The sequence below is a fragment of the Homo sapiens genome, chromosome 2 (genome assembly GCF_000001405.40).
Source record: "Homo sapiens chromosome 2, GRCh38.p14 Primary Assembly".
NCBI classification, from domain to species: domain Eukaryota; kingdom Metazoa; phylum Chordata; class Mammalia; order Primates; family Hominidae; genus Homo; species Homo sapiens.
In genome coordinates this window covers 97097325-97119504 of record NC_000002.12, presented here as the reverse complement: position 1 = coordinate 97119504, position 22180 = coordinate 97097325, and the positions used below count along the sequence as shown (strand labels likewise).

General features: G+C 40.9%; 1 protein-coding gene and 1 pseudogene across 51 annotated transcripts in view, besides 4 other annotated features; both read right to left on the bottom strand.

Annotated features, from left to right (window-relative positions):
• The window catches only part of ANKRD36 (ankyrin repeat domain 36), a 151369-nt gene extending 145017 nt beyond the window's left edge, over positions 1-6352 (bottom strand). For 45 of the 51 annotated variants that reach the window (XR_007074204.1, XM_017004009.2, NM_001354587.1 and 42 more), the window contains exons 1-3: positions 5569-6352; positions 1327-1441; positions 988-1161 (exon numbers count right to left, since the gene is read on the bottom strand). Coding sequence is in view for 50 of the 51 variants with exons in the window: in XM_017004009.2 (XP_016859498.1) it covers positions 988-1161; positions 1327-1441; positions 5569-5765 (486 nt within the window). In the remaining variant the exon portion in view is untranslated. Of the gene's footprint in view, positions 1-555; positions 1164-1326; positions 1442-5568 lie in introns of those variants that run through there. The other 6 variants (XM_047444243.1, XM_047444245.1, NM_198555.4 and 3 more) reach the window with 5 other exon arrangements.
• Positions 5613-5842: an enhancer, noted in NCBI's record as "active region_16237". NCBI's record gives its function as "activates an Ori minimal core promoter by ATAC-STARR-seq in GM12878 lymphoblastoid cells {active_cell/tissue: GM12878}" and the evidence as "EXISTENCE:reporter gene assay evidence [ECO:0000049][PMID:35858748]".
• Positions 5963-6092: a silencer, noted in NCBI's record as "silent region_11790". NCBI's record gives its function as "represses an Ori minimal core promoter by ATAC-STARR-seq in GM12878 lymphoblastoid cells {active_cell/tissue: GM12878}" and the evidence as "EXISTENCE:reporter gene assay evidence [ECO:0000049][PMID:35858748]".
• Positions 6173-6552: a silencer, noted in NCBI's record as "silent region_11789". NCBI's record gives its function as "represses an Ori minimal core promoter by ATAC-STARR-seq in GM12878 lymphoblastoid cells {active_cell/tissue: GM12878}" and the evidence as "EXISTENCE:reporter gene assay evidence [ECO:0000049][PMID:35858748]".
• Positions 6803-6902: an enhancer, noted in NCBI's record as "active region_16236". NCBI's record gives its function as "activates an Ori minimal core promoter by ATAC-STARR-seq in GM12878 lymphoblastoid cells {active_cell/tissue: GM12878}" and the evidence as "EXISTENCE:reporter gene assay evidence [ECO:0000049][PMID:35858748]".
• On the bottom strand, positions 18631-18918 carry RN7SL313P (RNA, 7SL, cytoplasmic 313, pseudogene; annotated as a pseudogene).

Sequence of the window (22180 nt, the reverse complement as noted above, 5' to 3'; positions counted from 1 at the left end):
GATAGAGCCATTCACTGAAGACTTCATTTACTTTTCCTGGGTAGGGGTAGGGAAGAGACTAGTAAGCTCAAAATCCAACTTGATTTTACTATTTATAAGCTCCGTATCTCCCACCTGCCCATCAAGACATTCTGGACTTGAGAGTAGAGTTTAGATGCTTATCTGAGTGGCTGTTTCTGCCAGAATTGAATAATGTCCATTAATTATGTGTTCTTCTCTCTGCTGAACTGTGTGCCGCTTCATCACCACTATTCACTGCCAACCTGGTTTCCTCAGAGTCTTACCAAAATTGATCCCTGGGCAATTTCACAACTCACAAACTCTTTCCCAAAGTAAGAATAATCATCCCCAAAACTGAAGCGATCTTTGTCTAAACATATAAATTGAAAACAAACAACAAAACACACAAAAACCCTCTCCACAGTATTTTCCCTCATTACCTAATTTCCAAATTAGCTTGTGCATTTCTGATTGCTCTCCTTTTCTTCATTTTTCCCTCTTAAGCCTTTCCACAGAGGAATCACTTTCAAATGAAATCACCTTCACATACAACACTTTCAACAGCAACAACATGTACATTTATTGTGAAATTCTTTAATTTTCTTTGACATTTAAAATAAAGCCTATTTATAAGGGACAATTTTACTTTCCTGTGTCACTTCACACTGATTAGAAAAAAAGTAATTTAGTGGAAAAACACTTAACTATTACCTTTCCCAAATTCAGTTGTCATGAATTATAAATTTATTGTAATTCATTTGTTTTTATAGTTATTTACCATAAGTGCATGAAAAAAGGCTGTTCCCTATAATGCTTCTTTAAAAGTTCCAATATTTAAAGTAAAATCTTAGACAGTTAAGGCATTTCAAAATATTTTCATTCAAGGAATGTTTGAGCTTCCAAATATGAAAAATTGACCCTTACATGTGTCAATGTTAAAATAAATGCATTTCAGATAGTTTGAAAATAACATTGGTTGACCTATACCTTGCTGCATTCTTCAATATTTGTACCATGTGAAAGAAGTTTTTCTATCATGGATGTATCTTCATTATACACAGCGTAGTGCAGAGCAGTCCTTCCAAAGAAATCCGTAATATTTGGATTGGCGCCATTTTGCAGCAGAAGAGTTGCACAAGCCTCCTGCCTCAGTTGTACAGCCTGTCAGTATTAGACCGAGAAACATGCAAATACTGAAAAATCAAAATAAACACTCCGTAGGATTTCCTACTAGTTATATGGTGGTATTCCAATGAGATAAATTCATTTTATCCTATGTACTTCAACCAAATCCATCTCATGCTCAAAGAGTCAGCTACTATATACCTTGATCAGAGGTGTCCTGTCTTCACGGTCGCAGAGGTTAAGCTCACATCTTCTGGACACCAGGAGATGTACCATTTCCGGTTGGCCAGTGGCACAGGCCAAATGTAGGGCGGTCCTGTGAGAGTGACAGGACTTTTTAAAACATGTAACTGTAAGCATTAATTAGCATGTCATTTCTCTGTCTTCAAAACAAATATGTAATTTTCTTGTGAAGAAAGTACAACATTTGTTAGCGCTTATTACTCACCACATTAATGAAAGAGCAGGCTATTTAATAGAAAAGCCTTGGCTTTTGGATTCAGTTTAATTGGGGCTTAAAATTTACTGTAAGCTCTGTCACTTAGCTGTTATTTAGCCTTTCTTTGCTTCAATTTCCTTATCAATAAAATATATAAGAGAATAGTAGCTAGCCCACAGAACACTGCTGTGATGCTTACATAAGAATCTATGCACAGCATTTAGAACACTTTCTAACACAAATAACAGCTCAATAATTTTTAGATATTACTACCTACAAAGACATTTTAATTAAGTAAAATGATACAATCATATCTACATTGAGGTATCTATTAAAGATTAGATGTATCATTGTATTTCAGTCATTCTCAGATGCTCATTTTCTCACCATTCTCTTATATAAGCTACTATTCTCTTATATATTAACATCTCCTGACATTGGAATACTGTTTACAATTAATTGTTTATTACATTTATAACTGGCAACATTTTAAACATTATCTTATTGATATATAAAGTAATGTGGCATCACCCAATCCGTGATGCCTTACATTAAGTGGGATACAGTACATAGAACAGGCAGTTCTACTCATATAATTGGCACCTAAATAAAGTACTGTGGAAAAAGAAGGCAAAAATAAAAAAACAAATTTTTAAAACAAAGTAATTCTCACTTCAATTTAAAAAAAAAAATAATCCAAAGAAAACTCAGGATTCAAATGAATAGGTATGGCCCATTTTTTTCAATACTTACAGAATGTTATGTAAATTAGGTATTTGCAACGATTAATAGTAGTATTTGAGAGTGTCATAAGTTTCTGAAATGGCAGTTAAAGGTTATCTTTCACTATTTTCTAACTTCAGAATTGCTTTTGTTTAAAAAAAAAAAAAAAAGGAATAAAAGATCCAACTGGGATTAAGTCCTAACGCTTCCATTTTAAATCTCAGCTTGCTCAGGCTGGGCAGGTAAACATGAAGTTGTTAAGGGTGGAAGAGTCCTGAGAGATGGTGGAATCTGTCTGCTACATAATAGGTATTCAGGTTATGCTTGATGAATAACTGGATTGAAAGAATGCATACATACAGTTGGGAAGTTTATTATGAAAAAAACTATAAATTAAAGCAGTGCTTTTGGAATAGTGATAATCACTTATATTTGCTCATTTTCATTTTCATGAGGACACTGATAAACTAAAATAATTAATTTAAAATTGTTTCCTTATATGTAATAAAACTATAATAAAAACCTATTTATGTACTAAAATCTATGCATAATAAAATAATCAAGCACAAATAAAAATATTCCCTCTGCCTCTGAAGAGGCTAAAAGTTCACAGAAGATACCAATAAACAAAAAAATAAAAATAAGGCCAGGCACAGTGGCTCACACCTGTAATCCCAGAACTTTGGGAGGCCGAGGCACGGGGATCACCTGAGGTCAGGAGTCTGAGACCAGCCTGGCCAACATGGTGAACCCCGTCTTTACTAAAATATACAAAAATTAGCTGGGCATGGAGGCGCACACCTGTAATCCCAGCTACTCAGGAGGCTGAGGTGGGAGAATCACTTGAACCTGAGAGGCAGATTGCAGTGAGCCGAGATCATGCCACTGCACTCCAGGCTGGGCAACAGGGTGAGACTCCATCTCAAAAATAAACAAACAAACAAAGACATAAATAATAAAATAAAATAGAAACTGAGAATTATTTTTTCTTTGCAAGATTTATATTTCTTCTTTTTCCAAGGATAATTTCATTAATAAAAAACATTTACTAGAAGTTTTAAACATACTGATCATTTATACATCACAGATAAGAGAAAATATCACAATACACCTGCCAGAAAAGAAGAAATGTTACATTTTGTACACATATTTGGCTTACAAACACCATAGATTGTTTGTGTGTATGTATAATCAAACCAACTTTTTTTCAGAGTACATCTTCACACCTCAACATACATCTGTATCTACTGACATCTGCAAAGGTCCCATATTGTCCCATCCTATGGATGCACTGAAATTTATTGATAAATTTATAAAATTTATAAAATCCATTATAAGGGGTTTTCCAAATACATTGCTATTTTAAGCAGTGCTGAGAAAAACAAATTGCATGTATCTCTATTTCCTAGAGATATTTTAGTATAATGGAATTGATGGGTGAAGGGCACATACATTTTTACAGTGTGATACTTACCAAAAAATTGTCTATTTGAAAAGTCATCAGAAATGTAAACTTTCAACAGCAGTATATGTACTGCTACCCTTTACCCTCACAAACTTGTGATAGAAAATAGTATTTCATTCCTTTTTTAACTTAAATACCTTCTCCTCCCAGGAACACTAAATATTTTTTCCCATGTGCATAGGTTGCTTGAACATCTGAAAAATAAATGCTTTGCTCTATTTTAAATGAGAGTTCTTGTTTATTTGAAGAATTCTCTGTAAAATGAAAATCACTTTTTTATCTAATATGTATATACACATATTGTCTTTTGTTAATTTTTTCTTATAAACTGGATTTTTTTTATTTTGCTAAATCGACCTTCAGAATGTGTGCTTGTGATATTTGTAGGAATATAAACATGCATCAATATAAGTAGGCATTTGTGTTTTTTTCTGTTATCTTTCTTATTTTGTGCATTTAAAATTTTTAATCTACATTCCATAACGAATTTATTTCTGTGACATAAAAATCTAGCCAGATTTCTCCAAATAGTTAGCAGGCACTTCATTTATGAGTAATTCATCTTTTCCTACTAATATGAAATGTCACCATTATCCAATTCTATTAGATTGGTGCAAAGGCAATTGCGGCTTTCGCCATTACTTGTAATTGCGGCAAAAACCGCAATTGCTTTTGCACCAACCTAATAAATTCTTACACATATTGGTGTGTTCCTGGATTTTCTAACCTGTTCCATTCACTGATTTGTTGTTTCAGCTGTTAGTAAATAACTTGTGGAAATTAACAGCACATTTTCATATCTAGAAAGGCAAGTCTTTTTTGACTCCATTTCAAAAGTTTTCTTGATGTCGTCACAATAGTAAAAGACAGCATGAGTAATTCAAAAATGTTAACACTTTGATAACTTTATTTGGATTATGTAAAATTTATAAACACAGAAAGAGCTCAGAACTTTAGAAAAATGTGTCTTTCTATTCAAGAACACAGACCATCTTCCCACTTCAAAGTTTCCCTCTAAGGTCCCTCAGTGAAAACCAAATTGACATAGGTGTCCATTGATATCAAATAAATATTGGATTTTTATCCAAAGAATTTTTAGCCAGGAAGTTGATATATTATGGAAATGATTTCTCTCATTATGCACCTTTCCATAATGTATGTAACATTATGCTTTAAAATGTGCACGTTAAAAATAAAACGCTGTACATGCTGAATTTTATTAGTGAAATCACTTTAAAATGATTTATAAAGAAGCAGCATGGTGAGTGATTGGAAACCAGCTGAAGTTTTGTTTTTGTTTTGCTGCTTGTGAAAATGACCTGGGTGCTCGCCCCCGCCAAGGTTTCCACATCCCAGGTGCGGCTGAGCCTGCCAGGAAAGAAAGTCCAGCCCCTTTGGTGACAGGACTCGCCCCCCTCACCTCTGCACCCCTTTCCCCCACCCCATTCACCCCCACCCCTCACCCCCACCTCCAGTCCTCTATCCCATTGAACCCTCACCCCATCTCCCCACCCCACACCGTCCACGCCCCTACCCCCCAAGCCTTCATTCCGTCCACCTCAGCCCATTCACGCCCCCACCCCATGCACCCCCTACTCCCCACTCCCATCCCCCAACTCACTCCACACCCCGCCACCCCATATACCGCCACTCCCCAGGCCCCGCTCCACTCACTCCCACCCCAGCCGGGCACCCCCTAGCCCCCGTCCAAACCCCGAGCCCCGGACCATCCGCCCCGCAGCCCTCAGCCTGGAAAGGGGTACTTCTCCACATCCACAGGCCTCCTCCCGCAGCCCCGGCTCCCGGCCCCCATTACCTTTCCTTCCTGTCTCTCTTATTGGCGTCATAATACGTGAGCAGAAGGTACTTCAGTTTCTCTAGATTACCATGTAAGACAGCTCTGTGGATCCTCTTCAGATGATACGGTTTAATGGGGTATTGGGGAAATGCGAAGCCATCCGAGCACAAGCGCTCCATGAGGGTGGGCCACCTCTCCCGCTTGCCGTCTTCCATAATCGTCGGCTGCAAATTGTAGCCTGCAGCCGTATTTCAGCTCGCCTTCGGGGATCGCCGCCTCCGAAGAGCAACAACGAGCAAAGCAGTCTGTCCACGGACCTCCGCACAGACTCTCAGCGCCTCCCGCCTCTCAGCAGAAACGCCCAACAGAAGGGTTAGAACCAGCGAGCACGCGCACCTTAGCCGGCCCTGCCCAACAGGCCCGAGGCAGAGAAACCGCCCTAGCAGCTCTCGCGCGCCCAGTGCAGGCGGCGGTTGCTGCGGAGGTGCCGCGGGAGGGCGGGGCTCCCTGGAGCGCGAGGCGCGCCCTGCCCCAGGGCCTGTTTAACTGTCGCCCGCGCGCTCTTCTCTTCCACAGGCTCCCGACGCTCGGAGTCCCCCGCGCTGGGCCCTCTGCAGCCCAGGGATGGGGTTGAGTGGTGCTTCTCCGCCTGGTGCCACCGCTGGGCCCACAGCCCCACTTCGCCACTGCGTCGCCCCCGGGGTCCGCGCTGATGGGTGCGAGGCGGGAGGACGGGATCCGGGGTTGCCACAGCTGCAGCCAGCGCACCACTTGTAGGCGGCACTGCAGCTCGGGCTCCGGCGGGGGCTGGCGGGGCTCCCGTGGGATGGCCTCCTGGGCCCTGAGTGCGCCCCCATCCGGCCGGAGGGTGCGCGCCTCCTGCACCCCCGGCGGAAGCCCATGCCCGGCGCTCCTGCCGCAGACTGCCTGACTTGCCGCGGCCAGGCTGGCCCCGGGGTCCGCGCGGCTGGAGGCGCAGGCCTGGTCGGGGATTCCCAATCCTCGGGGACCCCTGCTCCATGTGCTGGTGGCGGCTGCAGCTGCAGCGCCCGTGGGCTGACGTGGCTTCCCGGAGCTGCGGCCGGCCGCGCCCAAGGGCCCCACAGGCTGCGCTGCCCTTGCCAGCTGCTCCTGACCCGCGCCCAGAGCGCAGGACCTGACGCTTGGCACTCTGCAGCCACGGGGATGAGGCTGAGCGCCTGTTTTCGGCCTCGTGGCGCCGCTGGGGCCACAGCCTGACTTCACCACCCTGTCGCCCGAGTCCTGTGATGGGCAGGTGTGAGGAGGGGCAATCGGGGTTCCCAAGGCTGCTGCCTGCATGCCACTCCGTGAGGAAGTTGAAATACGTGATCTCTAAGATTCCTCCCAGTTCTTCACCTCATGAGACAAATATAAATCAAGTAACATTCGCTATTGTGATTAGAAAAGCTGCATTTACACACGTTAGCCACTAGATGGGGACGTGCGATTGTTACAATGCTGAAGGTTTCCCGTATTTCTTTATTTTTTATTTGGCCGCTAGAGGGCACGCCTGCACTGCACTTAAAGCTGACTATTAAGGAAAGACAAAGGAATTCTTGGATTTTTCCATTTTCCTCATCACCTGTGCTTATCAGAGAATTCCAGGGGCAAGCTACCCTTTCCAATTCATCACTAATTTATAAACAAAATTCTAAGGAGTAAGGAATGCTTCTTACTTACTTCCTATAACATATTTAAGAATGAACGCTCAAAATAAAAGTAATTTATTTAAAACGTGTTGAGTAATTATAACTGCAAAATTTTTGCTCATGTTTTTCATATGCTGTTCATTTGCAAATTATTAGAAATCTACATATTCTGTTCATCTCAGCATTATTTATAACAGGGAAAAATTAGACACTAGCCAAAAATCTAAAAACAGGGAACAGTAAGGAAAAAACAAATGGTTCTTTTAATCATCATCACTAAAAGTGCTTGTGACTTAAAATAATGACATAAAAGATGCTTCTACGTTGTTGAGTAAAACATCAAGATAAATTTAAAATTCTATTTCAAGCTTAACTATATTCATTTAAAAAGAGAAAAATTTTAGAGGGTTTATCTTGTTGGATTATCAGATGTTATTTTTCTCTTTTTAATGCCATATACTTTTCAAATTTTCAGTGGGCTGGTATTACTTTTGTATTTAAAAAAGAAAAATATAAGGAAAAAGAAACCTGTCACACACTTTTTAGTGGATTTTACTGATCAGTCATCTCTGTATTTCTGGCATCAGCAAACTGAGCCAGAAACTCAGTGCCTCCCATTTCTTTCTTTTTTTTTTTTTTTTTAGACGGAGTCTTGCTCTGTCGCCCAGGCTAGAGTTCAGTGGCTCAAACTTGGCTCGCTGCAACCTCTGCCTCCCAGGTTCAAGTGATTCTTCTGCCTCAGCCTCCCAATTAGCTGGGATGACAGGTGCCCACCACCGCACCCGGCTAATTTTTCTATTTTAGTAGAAACAGGGTTTCACCATCTTGACCAGGCTGGTCTCGACTCCTGACCTTGTGATCCACTGGCCTCGGCCTCCCAAAGTGCTGGGATTAACAGACCTGAGCCACCGCGCCAGGCCAAGTGCCTCCCATTTCTTGTATTTACCTTTAAAACTCCTGCAATGAAGGACTCCCTCCTCCCTCATCTAACCTATTATGTGTGTGGTGAGTTCTGACTATGATATCATTCCTGATGTGAAACCGAAGTCTCTCTCTTCTAAGTCCATCCATTGGTTCAGTTCTGTCTTCTGACAGAGTCCACGCCAGACTTCACATTTCTCCCAATCGTCTTTGTCCTACAAGGGCTTTCTATTCTTCAAGCTAAAGAGATACCAGTGATTCCATTCGTTCATTCAGTTAACGTTTAGGGGCCACATCTTGTGCTATGTCCTGAGATTTGCCAATGAGCAGAGCTCAGAGTATTGAAAAGACAAACACATACACCAGGCATTTTACTATGCTGTGTTGTGTGCATGACAGGAGCACACAGGGCATCCAGGCACCAGTGAGAAGGGCCATTCACCAGACTTGAGAGGTCAGCAAGGGTGCTCTGAGGAAACACCTTCTAAACTGAGAGCTGGAAAGAGTGAGACAGGAAAGCAGTAAGAGGTAGCGTTCTGAGGAGGAAATCTCCGAGGTGGGACAGGGATGCGTGTGGAGAGAATGCCCTTCCCATCCCCACTCTTCATGAAGTCTCTACTCTGTCAGGGTCTCTCTGCCCTGTGAGCTGCTTGAGGACAAAGACTGTTTTATAAAAATTTTTATTTCCTCCCTCTGTCTTCCTTAAACACCTAGCCCAGTGCCTGGAACATAAGAAGCCATAATGAATTTTTGTTAGATGAGTGAAGAGTGCTGAGTAGAGCAGAAATGTCACATGCCTCAGTTTAAATATGGGTCATCAGTTTTCTTTCTTTTTTAACATAGAAGTCAAGACTTGATGATCTCTTACAGCTTCGAGATGCTATTAAAGATATAATCATCCTCATGTATTTGAGCTTTGTTTTCACCCATTATGTTATGACTGCTGTCCATTGTTCCATGACACAATTCTCCATCTTTCCTCATTTTCTTCCATTTCAATTAACTCATTTATTTACATGTGGGAATGGAACATACAACGTAAAATCCACAAGTAAGACTTCCCAGATCCTCAGCTTCTTTCTCTGGCATTAGCCACTGTTTCTACTTTCATGAGCATCTGCTATGGTTTGAATGTATCCCCTCCAGAAATCAAATATTACAAATGTGATAGTATTAAGAGGTGGGGACTTTTGGAGGTGATTAGGCTATGAGGGCTCTGCCTTCATGAATAGGATTAAATATGCTTAGAAAAAGGAATGATGGAGGAAGTTAGACTCCTTTTGCCCTTCAGTCTCCTGCCATGTGAGGACACAGCACTCCTCCTCTCTGGAAGATGCAGCCTTCAAGGCGACATCTTGGAAACAGAGACCAGACACTCACCTGACAATGAATCTAATGGCCCCTGGATTTTGGACTTCCCAGCCTCCAGAACTGTGAAAAAACCAAATTTCTGTTGTTTATAAATTACTCAGTCTATGGTATTCTCTCATAGCAGCCCAAAACAGACAAGACTGTAGGAAATCAATTTGTATTCAGCACATCAACAAAATTCTTTACAAATGGGACTCCCCCCAATAGGTGGGTGTCACTAAAGAGAGGTGCCCATAAGCATGAGACAATGACCACGTGGCATGAGCAACGAACTACGATGAATGAGCACGTTACCACCACTAAAGACAAAACTTACATGACTAGATGACAACAAAATAATTTCTTATAATGAATTTCTCATTGTATTTTTTCTTAACCTTCCCTCCATTTAGTCAGGAATCTGGCTCTGACTCACACCTGAAGGACAGACAAGGACTTTTGTTTCCAAAAGCATAAACTGAAAGGAGAACTCGCAGAGTCTACAGAAAAGAGAAAAGACATTTGTCAACAGGGAGTGTTTATCTTTTTTAACTGGAGGGAGAGAGCAGGGATGAGGAGAGGAGATGCCTTCGGTATTGGAAAAAAACAATATTGTAGAGTTTTCCATCCCGGTACTAACAAAATTATAAAGGCCAATAAGAAATAACTGATAGCAATAAAACAAGGAAAGGGGCATAGCCTAATACAGTAAAGAAACTGGTGACTCAAAGAGAGAAAGGAAAAGAACATTCTGGAGCAAAATAGAGAGGGTCAGCATTTAGCTCCTAAGTTCCTCTTCCATCCTCCAGCCCCACCCTCCACATCCACCTCCAAATCCGGTGATTTTGAGCATAGTGAAGCACACTGACACTGAAGGGTGTCCTTATACGATCCTTCACTTGCTGGTGACTGGTGGAAACAGATGCTGGGGAGAAACAGGAGAAACAAGGTGGAGGGACATCAGGGTGCACTTCCTCTAAGAGAAGTCAAGGCTACACATGGAATGAGGAAAGCAAACCAATGCCCAGGGGAGTCCTCATGGTACTGAAACAGGAAGAGCCATCTGTTGCCCAAGCATTCTAACCAATGCTCAGAGCCCTCAGCCGCCCTTTCCCTCTACTGTCTCCTCATTCCCTTGGGCTACCAGGAAAAGTGGAGATGTTAATGGGCTCCAATCAAAGGCCACCATGAACACATCTGTAGTTGAAGAAGTGAGTTATTACTGGTTAAGTGAGGGAGAATACAAACTACAGGGAACAGTGGGGTGTCTCACTAAGAGGACATCAGAAAGGACTTAGAGGATTTGGGGTTGTGTTAGGCAATAATCTGGGAGAAGGGTTTAAGGAAATGGGGCTTTGTTCTGAATTGGGTGTTGTCAGGAAGTGGGGGTAATTCTAGCATAGCAGGGTATCTTAATAAATCTTATGTAGAAAGATGTAAACCTGTATTAAAGCCTTAATGGGTTAAGGCTATAATTGGTAAAGAACGTTAAAGCTGTAGTTGGTGAAGAAACAGTAGTTACTCTTCTTAGCTAGAATAGAGACATTGGTCATTTGTGTGATATGAACAATGCTCATGCTTTGCTCATGCTCAGACATGATTATGAAGAGGTCTTGTTTTTGTCTTAAGTATTGGCACAAAATGATATGGTATGAAGCAGATGTTCTATGGAATTGTTTATGCTCACAAGAGAACATCAACATCCATCTGTGGGTGCCAGGCAGCTCACAGCATCGCCAACTCCCGGCAGATAGGACCAGGTCAACTCCTGGCTGCCAGACACACCTCTTCTCTTTCTCAGAGGAACACAAAATACCCAATGCTCATTCTGTAGCTCAACAGGAAAACACATTCTCAGGTGAGCTGGAAAGAAAGTCGCTCATCTAATAATGACACAATTTTAAAAGACTGGTCAATTCAACTACATCAAAGACAAACAAAACAAAATTTTTTGCATGGCAAGAAAAGACTACCACCACAGTCAGAAAACAAATGAAAGAGTAGGAAAATAGGTTTGCAACTTATATCATAGACAAAGGGGTGCTATCTCTCATATACAAATAGTTCTTACAAATTTAGGGGAAATAGACCAACAATATATTGAAAAAATTAAAAAGATACGCATAGAGATTTCATAGGAAAATAATTGGAAGTTGATCTTAAACATGTGAAAAGTTACGCAACATGGCTCATAAGAAGATAAGTGTAAATTAAACATATTTCTATGCTCTGTTGTTAGGTGCATACACACATGCAGGATTGTCATGTCTTCTTGGAGAATTGACTCCTTTTTCTTAGGTAATGTCCTTCTGTATCTATGGTAACTTTTATTGCTCTTTAAGGCTGCTCTGCCTGAAATTAATAGAGATATGTTGGGGGTGTTTTTGATAAGTGTTAGTATGGTATATCTTTCTGCATCCCTTTAATTTATGCAGGTGCATCTTTATATTTAGAATGTGTTTCTTGTAGACTACATATAGTTGAGTCCGACTTTTTAATCTACACTGACAATCTCTTTTATTTTATTTCTGTCTTCCCACCTTTTATTTTAGGTTCAAAGGGTACGTACGTGCGAAGGTTTTTTTTTCTCATATGATTTTTTATTATACTTTAAGTTCTAGGGTACCTGTGCACAACGTGCAGGTTCGTTACATATGTATACATGTGCCATGATGGTGTGCTGCACCCATTAACTTGTCATTTACATTAGGTATATCTCCTAATGCTATCCCTCCCCCCTCCCCTCACCCCATTGACAGGTCCTGGTGTGTGATGTTCCCCATCCTGTGTCCAAGTGTTCTCACTGTTCAGTTCCCAACTATGAGTGAGAACATGCGGTGTTTGGTTTTCTGTCCTTGTGATAGTTTACTCAGAATGATGGTTTCCAGCTTCATCCATGTCCCTACAAAGGACATGAACTCATCCTTTTTTATGGCTGCATAGTATTCCACGGTGTATATTTGCCACTTTCTTTAATCCAGTCTATCATTAATGGACATTTGGGTTGGTTCCAAGTCTTTGCTATTGTGAATAGTGCCACAATAAACATAAATATAAAGCATGTGTCTTTATAGCAGCATGATTTCTAATCCTTTGGGTATATACCCAGTAATGGGATCACTGGGTCAAATGGTATTTCTAGTTCTAGATCCTTGAGGAATTGCCACACTGTCTTCCACAATGGGTGAACTAGTATACAGTCCCAGCAACAGTGTAAAAGTGTTGCTATTTCTCCATATCCTCTCCAGCACCTGTTGTTTCCTGACTTTTTTAATGATCGCCATTCTAACTGGCATGAGATGGTATCTCATTGTGGTTTTGATTTGCATTTCTCTGATGGCCAGTGATGATGAGCATTTTTTCATGTGTCTGTTGGCTGTGTAAATGTCTTCTTTTGAGAAGTGTCTGTTCATATCCTTCGCCCACTTTTTGGTGGGGTTGTTTGATTTTTTTCTTGTGAAATTGTTTAAATTCTTTGTAGATTCTGAATATTAGCCCTTTGTCAGATGGGTAGATTGTAAAAATTTTCTCCCATTCTATAGGTTGCCTGTTGACTCTGATGGTAGTTTCTTTTGCTGTGCAGAAGCTCTCTAGTTTAATTAGATCCCATTTGTCAATTTTGGCTTTTGTTGCCATTGCTTTTGGTGTTTTAGTCATGAAGTCCTTGCCCATGCCTATGTCCTGAATGGTATTGCCTAGGTTTTCTTCTAGGGTTTTTATGGTTTCAGGTCTGACATTTAAATCTTTAATCCATCTTGAATTAATTTTTGTATAAGGTATAAGGAAGGGATCCAGTTTCAGCTTTCTACATATGGCTAGCCAGTTTTCCCAGCACCATTTATTAAATAGGGAATCCTTTCCCCATTTCTTGTTTTTGTCAGGTTTGTCAAAGATCAGATGGTTTTAGATGTGTGATATTATTTCTGAGGGCTCTGTTCTGTTCCATTGGTCTATATCTCTGTTTTGATACCAGTACTATGGTGTTTTGGTTACTGTAGCCTTGTAGTATAGTTTGAAGTCAGGTAGTGTGACACTTCCAGCTTTGTTCTTTTGGCCTAGGATTGTCTTGGCAATGCGGGCTCTTTTTTGGTTCCATATGAACTTTAAAGTAGTTTTTTCCAATCCTGTGAAAAAAGTCATTGGTAGCTTGATGGGGATGGCATTGAATCTATAAATTACCTTGGGTAGTATGGCCATTTTCATGATATTAATTCTTCCTATCCATGAGCATGGAATGTTCTTCCATTTGTTTGTGTCCTTTTTTATTTTGTTGAGCAGTGGTTTGTAGTTCTCCTTGAAGAGGTCCTTCACATCCCTTGTAAGTTGGATTCCTAGGTATTTTATTCTCTTTGAAGCAATTGTGAATGGGAGGTCACTCATGATTTGGCTCTCTGTTTGTCTGTTATTGGTGTATAGGAATGCTTGTGGTTTTTGCTCATTGATTTTGTATCCTGAGACTTTGCTGAAGTTGCTTATCAGCTTAAGGAGATTTTGGGCTGAGACAATGGTGTTTTCTAAATATAAAATCATGTCATCTGCAAACAGGTTAATTCCTATAAACCAAGCTGACCTAATAGCCATCTATTTGGCTATTTAAGGTTAAATATTGTTTAACCTTAAATATGACATTTAAGGTTAATATTGTTATGTGTGAATTTGATCCTGTCATTGTTATAATGTTAGGTGGTTAATTTGCTCGTTAATGGATGCAGTTTCTTCCTAGCATTGATGGTCTTTACAATTTGGCATGGTTTTGCAGTGGCTGGTACTGGTTGTTCCTTTACATGTTTAGTGCTTCCTTCAGGAGCTCTTGTAAGGCAGGCCGGGTGATGACAAAATCTCTCAGCATTTTCTTGTCTGTAAGGGATTTTATTTCTCCTTCACTTATGAAGGTTAGTTTGGCTGGATATGAAATTCTGGGTTGAAAATTCTTTTCTTTAAGAATGTTGAATATTGGCCCCCACTCTCTTCTGGCTTGTAGAGTTTCTGCCGAGAGATCTGCTGTTAGTCTGATGGGCTTCCCTTTGTGGGTAACCCGACCTTTCTCTCTGGCTGCCCTTAACATTTTTTCCTTCATTTCAACTTTTGGTGAATCTCCAAGACAATTATGTGTCTTGGAGTTGCTCTTCTCAAGAGTATCTTTGCGGTGTTCTCTGTATTCCTGAATTTGAATGTTGGCCTGCCTTGCTAGGTTGGGGAAGTTCTCCTGGATAATATCCTGAAGAGTGTTTTCCAACTTGGTTCCATTCTCCCCGTCACTTTCAGGTATACCAATCACATGTAGATTTGGTCTTTTCACATAGTCCCACATTTCTTGGAGGCTTTGTTCATTTCTTTTCACTCTTTTTCTCTAAACTTCTCGCTTAATTTCATTCATTTGATCTTCAGTCACTGATACCCTTTCTTCCACTTGATCGAATAGGCTACTGAAGCTTGTGCATGCATCATGTAGTTCTCATGCCATGGTTTTCAGCTCCATAAGGTCATTTAAGGTCTTCTCTACACTGCTTATTCTAGTTAGCCATTTGTCTAATCTTTTTTCAAGGTTTTTAGCTTCTTTGCGATGGGTTCGAACATATTCCTTTAGCTCAGAGAAGTTTTTTGTTTTTTGTTTTTTTTTTTTTTTGAGAGGGAATCTCACTCTGTCACCCAGGCTGGAGTGCAGTGGCACAATCTCGACTCACTGCAAGTTCCACCTCCCGGGTTCTGGCCATTCTTCTGCCTCAGCCTCCTGAGTAGCTGGGACTACAGGTGCCTGCCACCATGCCCAGCTAATTTTTTGTAATTTTAATAGAGACAGGGTTTCACCATCTTAGCCAGGATTGTCTCGATCTCCTGACCTTGTGATCCACCCGCCTTGGCCTCCCAAAGTGCTGGTATTACAGGCATGAGCCACCACGCCCAGTGGAGAAGTGTGTTGTTATCGATCATCTGAAGCCTTCTTCTCTCAACTCCTCAAATTCATTCCCCATCCAGCTTTGTTCCATTGCTGGCGAGGAGCTGCATTCCTTTGGAGAAGAGGTGCTCTGATTTTTAGAATTTTCAGCTTTCTGCTCTGGTTTCTCCCCATCTTTGTGGTTTTATCTACCTTTGGTCTTTGATGATGGTGACGTACAGATGGGGTTTTGGTGTGGATGTCCTTTCTGTTTGTTAGTTTTCCTACTAACAGTCAGGACCCTCAGCTGCAGGTCTGTTGGAGTTTGCTGGAGGTCCACTCCAGACCCTGTTTGCCTGGGTATCACCAGCGGAGGCTGCAGAACAGCAAATATTGCAGATCGGCAAATGTTGCTGCCTGGTCCTTCCTCTGGAAGCTTCATCTCAGAGGGGCACCTGGCCGTATGAGGTGTCAGTTGGCCCCTACTGGGAGGTGCCTCCTGGTTAGGCTACTTGGGGTCAGGGACCCACGTGAGGAGGCAGTCTGTTCATTCTCAGATCTCAAACTCTGTGCTGGGAGAACCACTACTCTCTTCAAAGCTGTCAGACAGGAACGTTTTCACATGTGAAGGTTTATTATTACATCAGTAAACTGTATGTCATAGGAGTTTGGTGTACTGGCCATTTTGTTCCACAAGTAATAAGCAGAGTACTCAATAGGTAGTTTTTCAATCCTCACCCTCCTCCCAACCTCCACCCTTAAGTAGGCCCCGGATGTCTGATGTTCCCTTCTATGTGTCCATGTATACTCAGTGTTTAGCTCCCACTTATAAGTGAGAACATTCATTACTTGGTTTTCTGTTCCTGTGTTAATTCACTTAAGATGATGGCCTCCAGCTCTATCCATGTTGCTGCAAAGGACATTGATTGCATTCCTTTTTATGGCTCTGTGGTATTCCATAGTGTGTATATAGTCTATCATTGATGGGCATCTAGGTTGATTCCATGTCTTTGCTATTGTGAATAGTCCTGCGATGAACATATGCCTGTATGCGTCTTTATGGTAGAATGGTTTATATCCCTTTGGGTATACACTCAGAAATGGAATTGCTGGGTTGAATGGTAGTTTTGTTTTAAGTTCTTTGATAAATCTCCAGACTACTTTTCACAGTGGCTGAACTAATTTATGTTCTGACCAGCAGTGTATAAGCATTCTCTTTTCTCCACAACCTCTCCAGCATCTGTTATTTTTTTACCTTTTATAATAGCCATTCTGACTGTTGTGAAATGGTATCTCATTGTGGTTTTGATATTTAGTACTTTTTCATATGTTTGTTGGCTGTGCAGGTGTCTTTTGAGAAGTGTGTGTTCATGTCCTTTGCCCATTTTTAGTGGGGTTGTTTGTTTTTTCCTTGTTGATTTAAGTTCCTTATAGATTCTAGATATTAGACTTTTGTTAGATGCATAGGTTGTAAACATTTGCTTTCATTCTATAGGTTGTGTGTTTACCCTGTCGATAGTTTTTTTGCTTTGCAGAATCTCTGTCTTAGTTGGTGTATTTAGACCACTGCATTCAAAATGATTATTGACATAGTTAGAGTAATATCTACCTTATCTGTTACTGTTTTTCTATTTGTTGCCTTTTTATTTGTTCCTATATTTTTGTCTTCCACTCTTTTTTTGCCTTTTGTGACTTTAGTTCCACATTTTATATGACCAAAAAATAAATACATTGTCAACATATTTCTGCTATGGTCTCAATATGTTCCCTTGAAATTTAATCACCAATATAAGAAGTGAGGCCCTTAGGAGGTGATTAAGTCATAAGGGTGGAGCCCTCATTAGTGGATTAGTGCTGTAATAAAACAGGTGAGAGGGGGCTATTCACCTTTTCCACCACACAAGGACACAGCAAGAAGGTACCATCTTGGAAGCAGAGAGTGAGCCCTTATCAGACACCAAATCTGCTCTTGCCTTGATCTTGGACCTCCCAGCCTCCAGAACTATGAAAAATAAATTTCTCATAATTATAAATTATGCAGTCAAAATTATTTTGTTATAGCAGCCCAAGTGGAAGAAGGCAACTTCTTTAAAAAAAAAATACTTTTCTTCTTATTTTTTTCACTTCTTTTAGTGTTTTCCTTAGATTTGCAATATACATCTACAACTAATGCAAATCCATTTTCAAATATCATATACTACCTCATGGGTTGTACCAAGTACCTTATAATAACAAAATAATCCCAATTCCTGCCTCCTATCTCTTATATCACTACTGTCATTCATTTCACTTATACATAAATGTACTTAAGTATATATGTTTCTGTAGATATATATACACATATATGAATACATAATTGAATACATTCTTGCTATTATTATTTTGAACAAACTGTTATCTGTTAGATCAATTTGGAATAAAAAAATAAGTTACTATTTTATCTTCACTCATTCCTTCTTCAGTGCTCTCTTTCTTTATATAGATCCAAGTTTCTGACTTGTATGTTTTTCTTTCCCTTGGAAGAACTTCTTTCAGTATTTCTTACAAGGCACATGTACTAACAATAAATTCCCTCAATTTTTGTTTGTCTGAGAAAGTCTGTATTTATTCTTCAGTTTTGAGGAATAATTTTACAGTGTACAGAATTCAAGGTTGTGTATTTTTTTCACTCAAGATGTTAAATATTTCACTTCACACTCTTCTTGTTTGCATGGTTTCCGAGGAGAAGACAGATGTTATCCTTATCTTTGCTCCCTATAGGTAAGGTGGCTTTTTCCTCTGGCTTCTTTCAATAGTTTTTGTTTGTTTGTTTCTTTGTTTGTTTGGAAAAGAGTCTCACTTTGTCACCAGGCTGCAGTGCAGTGGTGCAATGTCAGCTCACTGCAACCTTGCAACCTTCACCTCCTGGGTTCAAGCGAATCTCCTGTCTCAGCCTCCCAAGTAGCTGGGATTACAGGCGCCCACCATTTATGTCCAGCTAATTTTTGTGTTTTTGGTAGTGATGAGGTTTTGCCATGTTGGCCAGGCTGGCTCAAACTCCTGACCTCAAGTGATACACCCACCTTGACCTCTGATCAACCTGCCTTGGCCTCCAGTAGTGTTTTATTTATCTTTGATTTCTACTTTGAATATGCTATACCTGGGTGGAGTTTTTTGGCATTTATTCTGGTTGGTGTTCACAGAGCTTCCTGGATCTATGGTTTGGTGCCTGATATTAATTTGGTGAAAATCTCTGTCATTATTCTTTTTTTGTTTATTTATTTAAAAGGTGGGGTCTCGCTGTGTTGGTCAGGCTGGAGTGCAGTGGCCTTTCACAGGTGTGGTCAGCAAGGAAATTTTGACCTGCTCCGTTTCTGACCTGGGCCAGTTCTCCCCTCCTTAGGCAACCTGGTTATCCGCCTTTCCCCAGAGGTCACCATACTAATGCCAAACTTAGTGCAGACACCCAATCGGCATAGTGCATTGCAGCCCAGAACTCCTGTACAGACTCAAGCGATCCTCCTGCCTCAGCCTCCCAAGTACCTGGGACTACAGGTGTGTGCCACCACATCTATTTATTTTTTGAGACAGGGTCTCACTCTGTCACCCAGGCTGGAGTGCAGTGGTGCAATCATGGCTCACTGCAGATTTGACCTCCCGGGCTTACATGATCCTTTCACCTCACCCCACCGAGTAGATGGGACCAGAGGTGTGCACCATGCACCCCTAATTTTTTAATTTTCTTGTAGAGATGGGGTCTCCCTATGTTGCTCAAGCTATTATTATTTTAAATATTTTTTCTGTTTCTTTCTCTTCTCTTTGTTTCTCTTCTCTTTCTTGCATCCCCATTATGTGTATGTTATTTTTTTTCATAGTTGTCGCACAGTTCTTGAATAGTCTGTTTCACTTTTTCAGTCTCTTTGTTCTTTGCTTTTCTGTCCTGGAAGTTTCTATTGATATATCCTCAAGCGTAGAGATTCTTTCTTCAGCCATGTCCATTACACTCATGGGCCTATCAAAGGCATTTCTCATCACTAGAACAGTGTTTCTCATCTCTAGCCTTTCTTTTTATTCTTTCTTAGGATTTCCATCTCTCTGCTTCACAGGTTCTTGCATGCTGTCTACTTTATTCATTAGAGCCCTTAGTATATTAGTTATAATTGTTTTAAATTCCCGGTCTGATAAGTCTAACACTCCTGCCATATCTGAGTCTGGGTCTGATGCTTGCTCTTTTTCTTCAAACTTTGTGTTTTGCCTTTTAGTATGACTTGTAATTTTCTTCTTGACATCAGACATGAGGTACTGGGTAAGAGGAACTGCAGTTAGTAGGCCCTACAGTAATATCGTAGTAAGATGGCAAAGGACAGAAGAGTGATCACAGTCCTATGATTAGGTCTCAGCCTTTTAGTGATCCTCTGTCTCTGAAATGTTAACTTCACAAGTGCTTCTTGGTTTTCCCCCTTTGGATGGAACAGGACAGTTAGAGCTCTGTATACACCTAAAAAACATAAACAAATATTGAACTTTAGCCAATGTATGCATGTTGAAATGTTTGAGGGGGACAGGGAAAGTGTACTGATGTCTATAACTTACTTTGAAAGTCATCAAAAGACAAGATGGATTGATAGATAGGTGGAAGGATAGATAGACATGTGATAAAGCAACTATAGTAAAACATAAATTGTAAGGTCTAGGTGGTGAGTATACAGGTTTTCATTGTACTTTTTTTTCCAACTTTTTTGTATGTTTGAAAATTTCATAATACAATGTTCAAAAAATAAGCCTAACAGCCTAGGGAGATAGGTCAGAGTCAGTAGGATGAAATTTAATGTCAGTGAAGGGCAAGTGGTCTCTTCAGGTGTAGATGCTCTTTTGCTTAGATGAAGAATGAGGAAGTCATTTTCTGCCAGCTGTTCATGTACATAAGGAATGGGTTGCACTCAAGGTAATTATGATGTGCTTCTGTAAGAGATGCTGAATTCATAAATGTTTCCATAATCTCTGGACAAGGAATTGGGCATGCTATCCTACTCCAGACCATTCACATCCTCTTAAGGTGAGATATCCCACTTTCTAAGAGACTTTGGCAAATGAGTCATATCAGTCAGGATGGGCTGAGTTTTGCTGCAATAACAAAAGACTCCCAAATCTCAGTGTCATCTCCCTCATATTCCACATCCAATGTGAGTTGGCTGTGGCTCCATCTATGGCGTTTTTACTCTGGAACACAAGCTGACAGAGTGGTTTTTATTTAGAGCATTCTATCTAGTAGCAGAGGGAAAAGAGACATGGCAAACACAGGCCGGCTTTTACAGAAGCCTTGTAAGGGGTCTATGATGCTCCTACCCACATAGCATCGGCCAAAACAAGTCTGATGGCCAGGCCTTAGTTCAGCTAGATGTGAACACCCCATGCTCCAGCAGGAGGAGGCACAGCTGATGATGACCAACGGTGATTGAATCTACCCCAAGGAGATTATCAGAATGATGTGAGGTCTAAGAAAGGTGAGGGAACTAGGGGAGAGGTGGCAGAGGAATGACATGCTGGTTTTATTCAAACATATTAGAAAATGCAAGACAAGATGTGTTCTGCACAGCTCCAGGGGCAAGCTGAAGACATTTCTACCAGCTAGGAGTCACAGGCTTCAGGTTATCATGGGAAGCACATTCTGACAGGAAGGACTACCCAGCATTAGGGAATACCGAGGGCACGTTGTTACCTGGGCTGCTCCATGCGCCCAGGACAGTGATGACACTTGAAGACAGTGTTGCCTTCCATTCTCCCCCTCCCCATAAAATACTGGGCCCAGCTGCCCACACAGCAGTGAGCTCCCTATCCCTGAAAAAATGTAAGCACAGCCTGGGTGCTCCTGGACAGAGGGCTGTGGATGGAGCCCCTGCATCGCAGGGTGAGGCCAGACCACAGCAAGCCAGAGGAGGGTGTGTCTAGCCCAGGGTACACGTAGGACAGATAACCTGGCAGGGATGCTGTGCTCCTTCTTGCTAACATGTGCCCCTCTCAAGCTTCCAGGAAAAAAAAATCACATAATGAGGTTGCTAAGATCTACAGAAAGAATGAATCTTCTATCCATGAAATTGTGAAGAAGGGAAAAGAAATTTGTGCCAGTTTTACTGTCACACCTCAAAGTGCAAAACTTATGGCTACAGTGTGTGAGAAGCGCTTAGGGTAGAAAAAGCATTAGATTTGTGAGTGGAAGATGTCAACAGAAACGTATTCTGATTGACAGCAACCGTGTAGCACCAGATTAACTTCATCTGGATTAAATTTGTTCACTGGCATCAATGTATAGGAAAAGATGTGGCAGATGTAGGGTTTGGTACTATCTGCAGTTTCAGGCATCCGCCAGGGGTCTTTGAAGATATCCCCCAAGGATACTCCATATAAATGAAATCATCCAATATGTACTCATTTTTAATCTACCCTTTTTCACTCCAAATAATTATCTTGATATATATCCATGTTGTATCAACAATTCATCCCTTTTTCTTGCTAAGTAGTATTCCCTAGTGTGGCTAAACACAGAGTGTTTACACATTCACCTGTTAATGGAAAATTGGGTGGTTTCCAGTTTGGGGATTTTACAAAAAGCCTGCTGTGAACACTTCTGAATACATCTTTGCATGAGCATATTTTTCTTATTTCTCATGTAATTACTATCAAACAAAAATATAAATCTGGATTCCATAAAAAGAGAATTTATTCAAAAGGATTGTTGTGGGGGTTGGGGGGGGGACTATTACAATAAGGAGACAGTCTGACGATGTGATCCTCAAGTGTCTCAGAGGTTAGGCAAAGGGCTGACCTTGTATAGGGA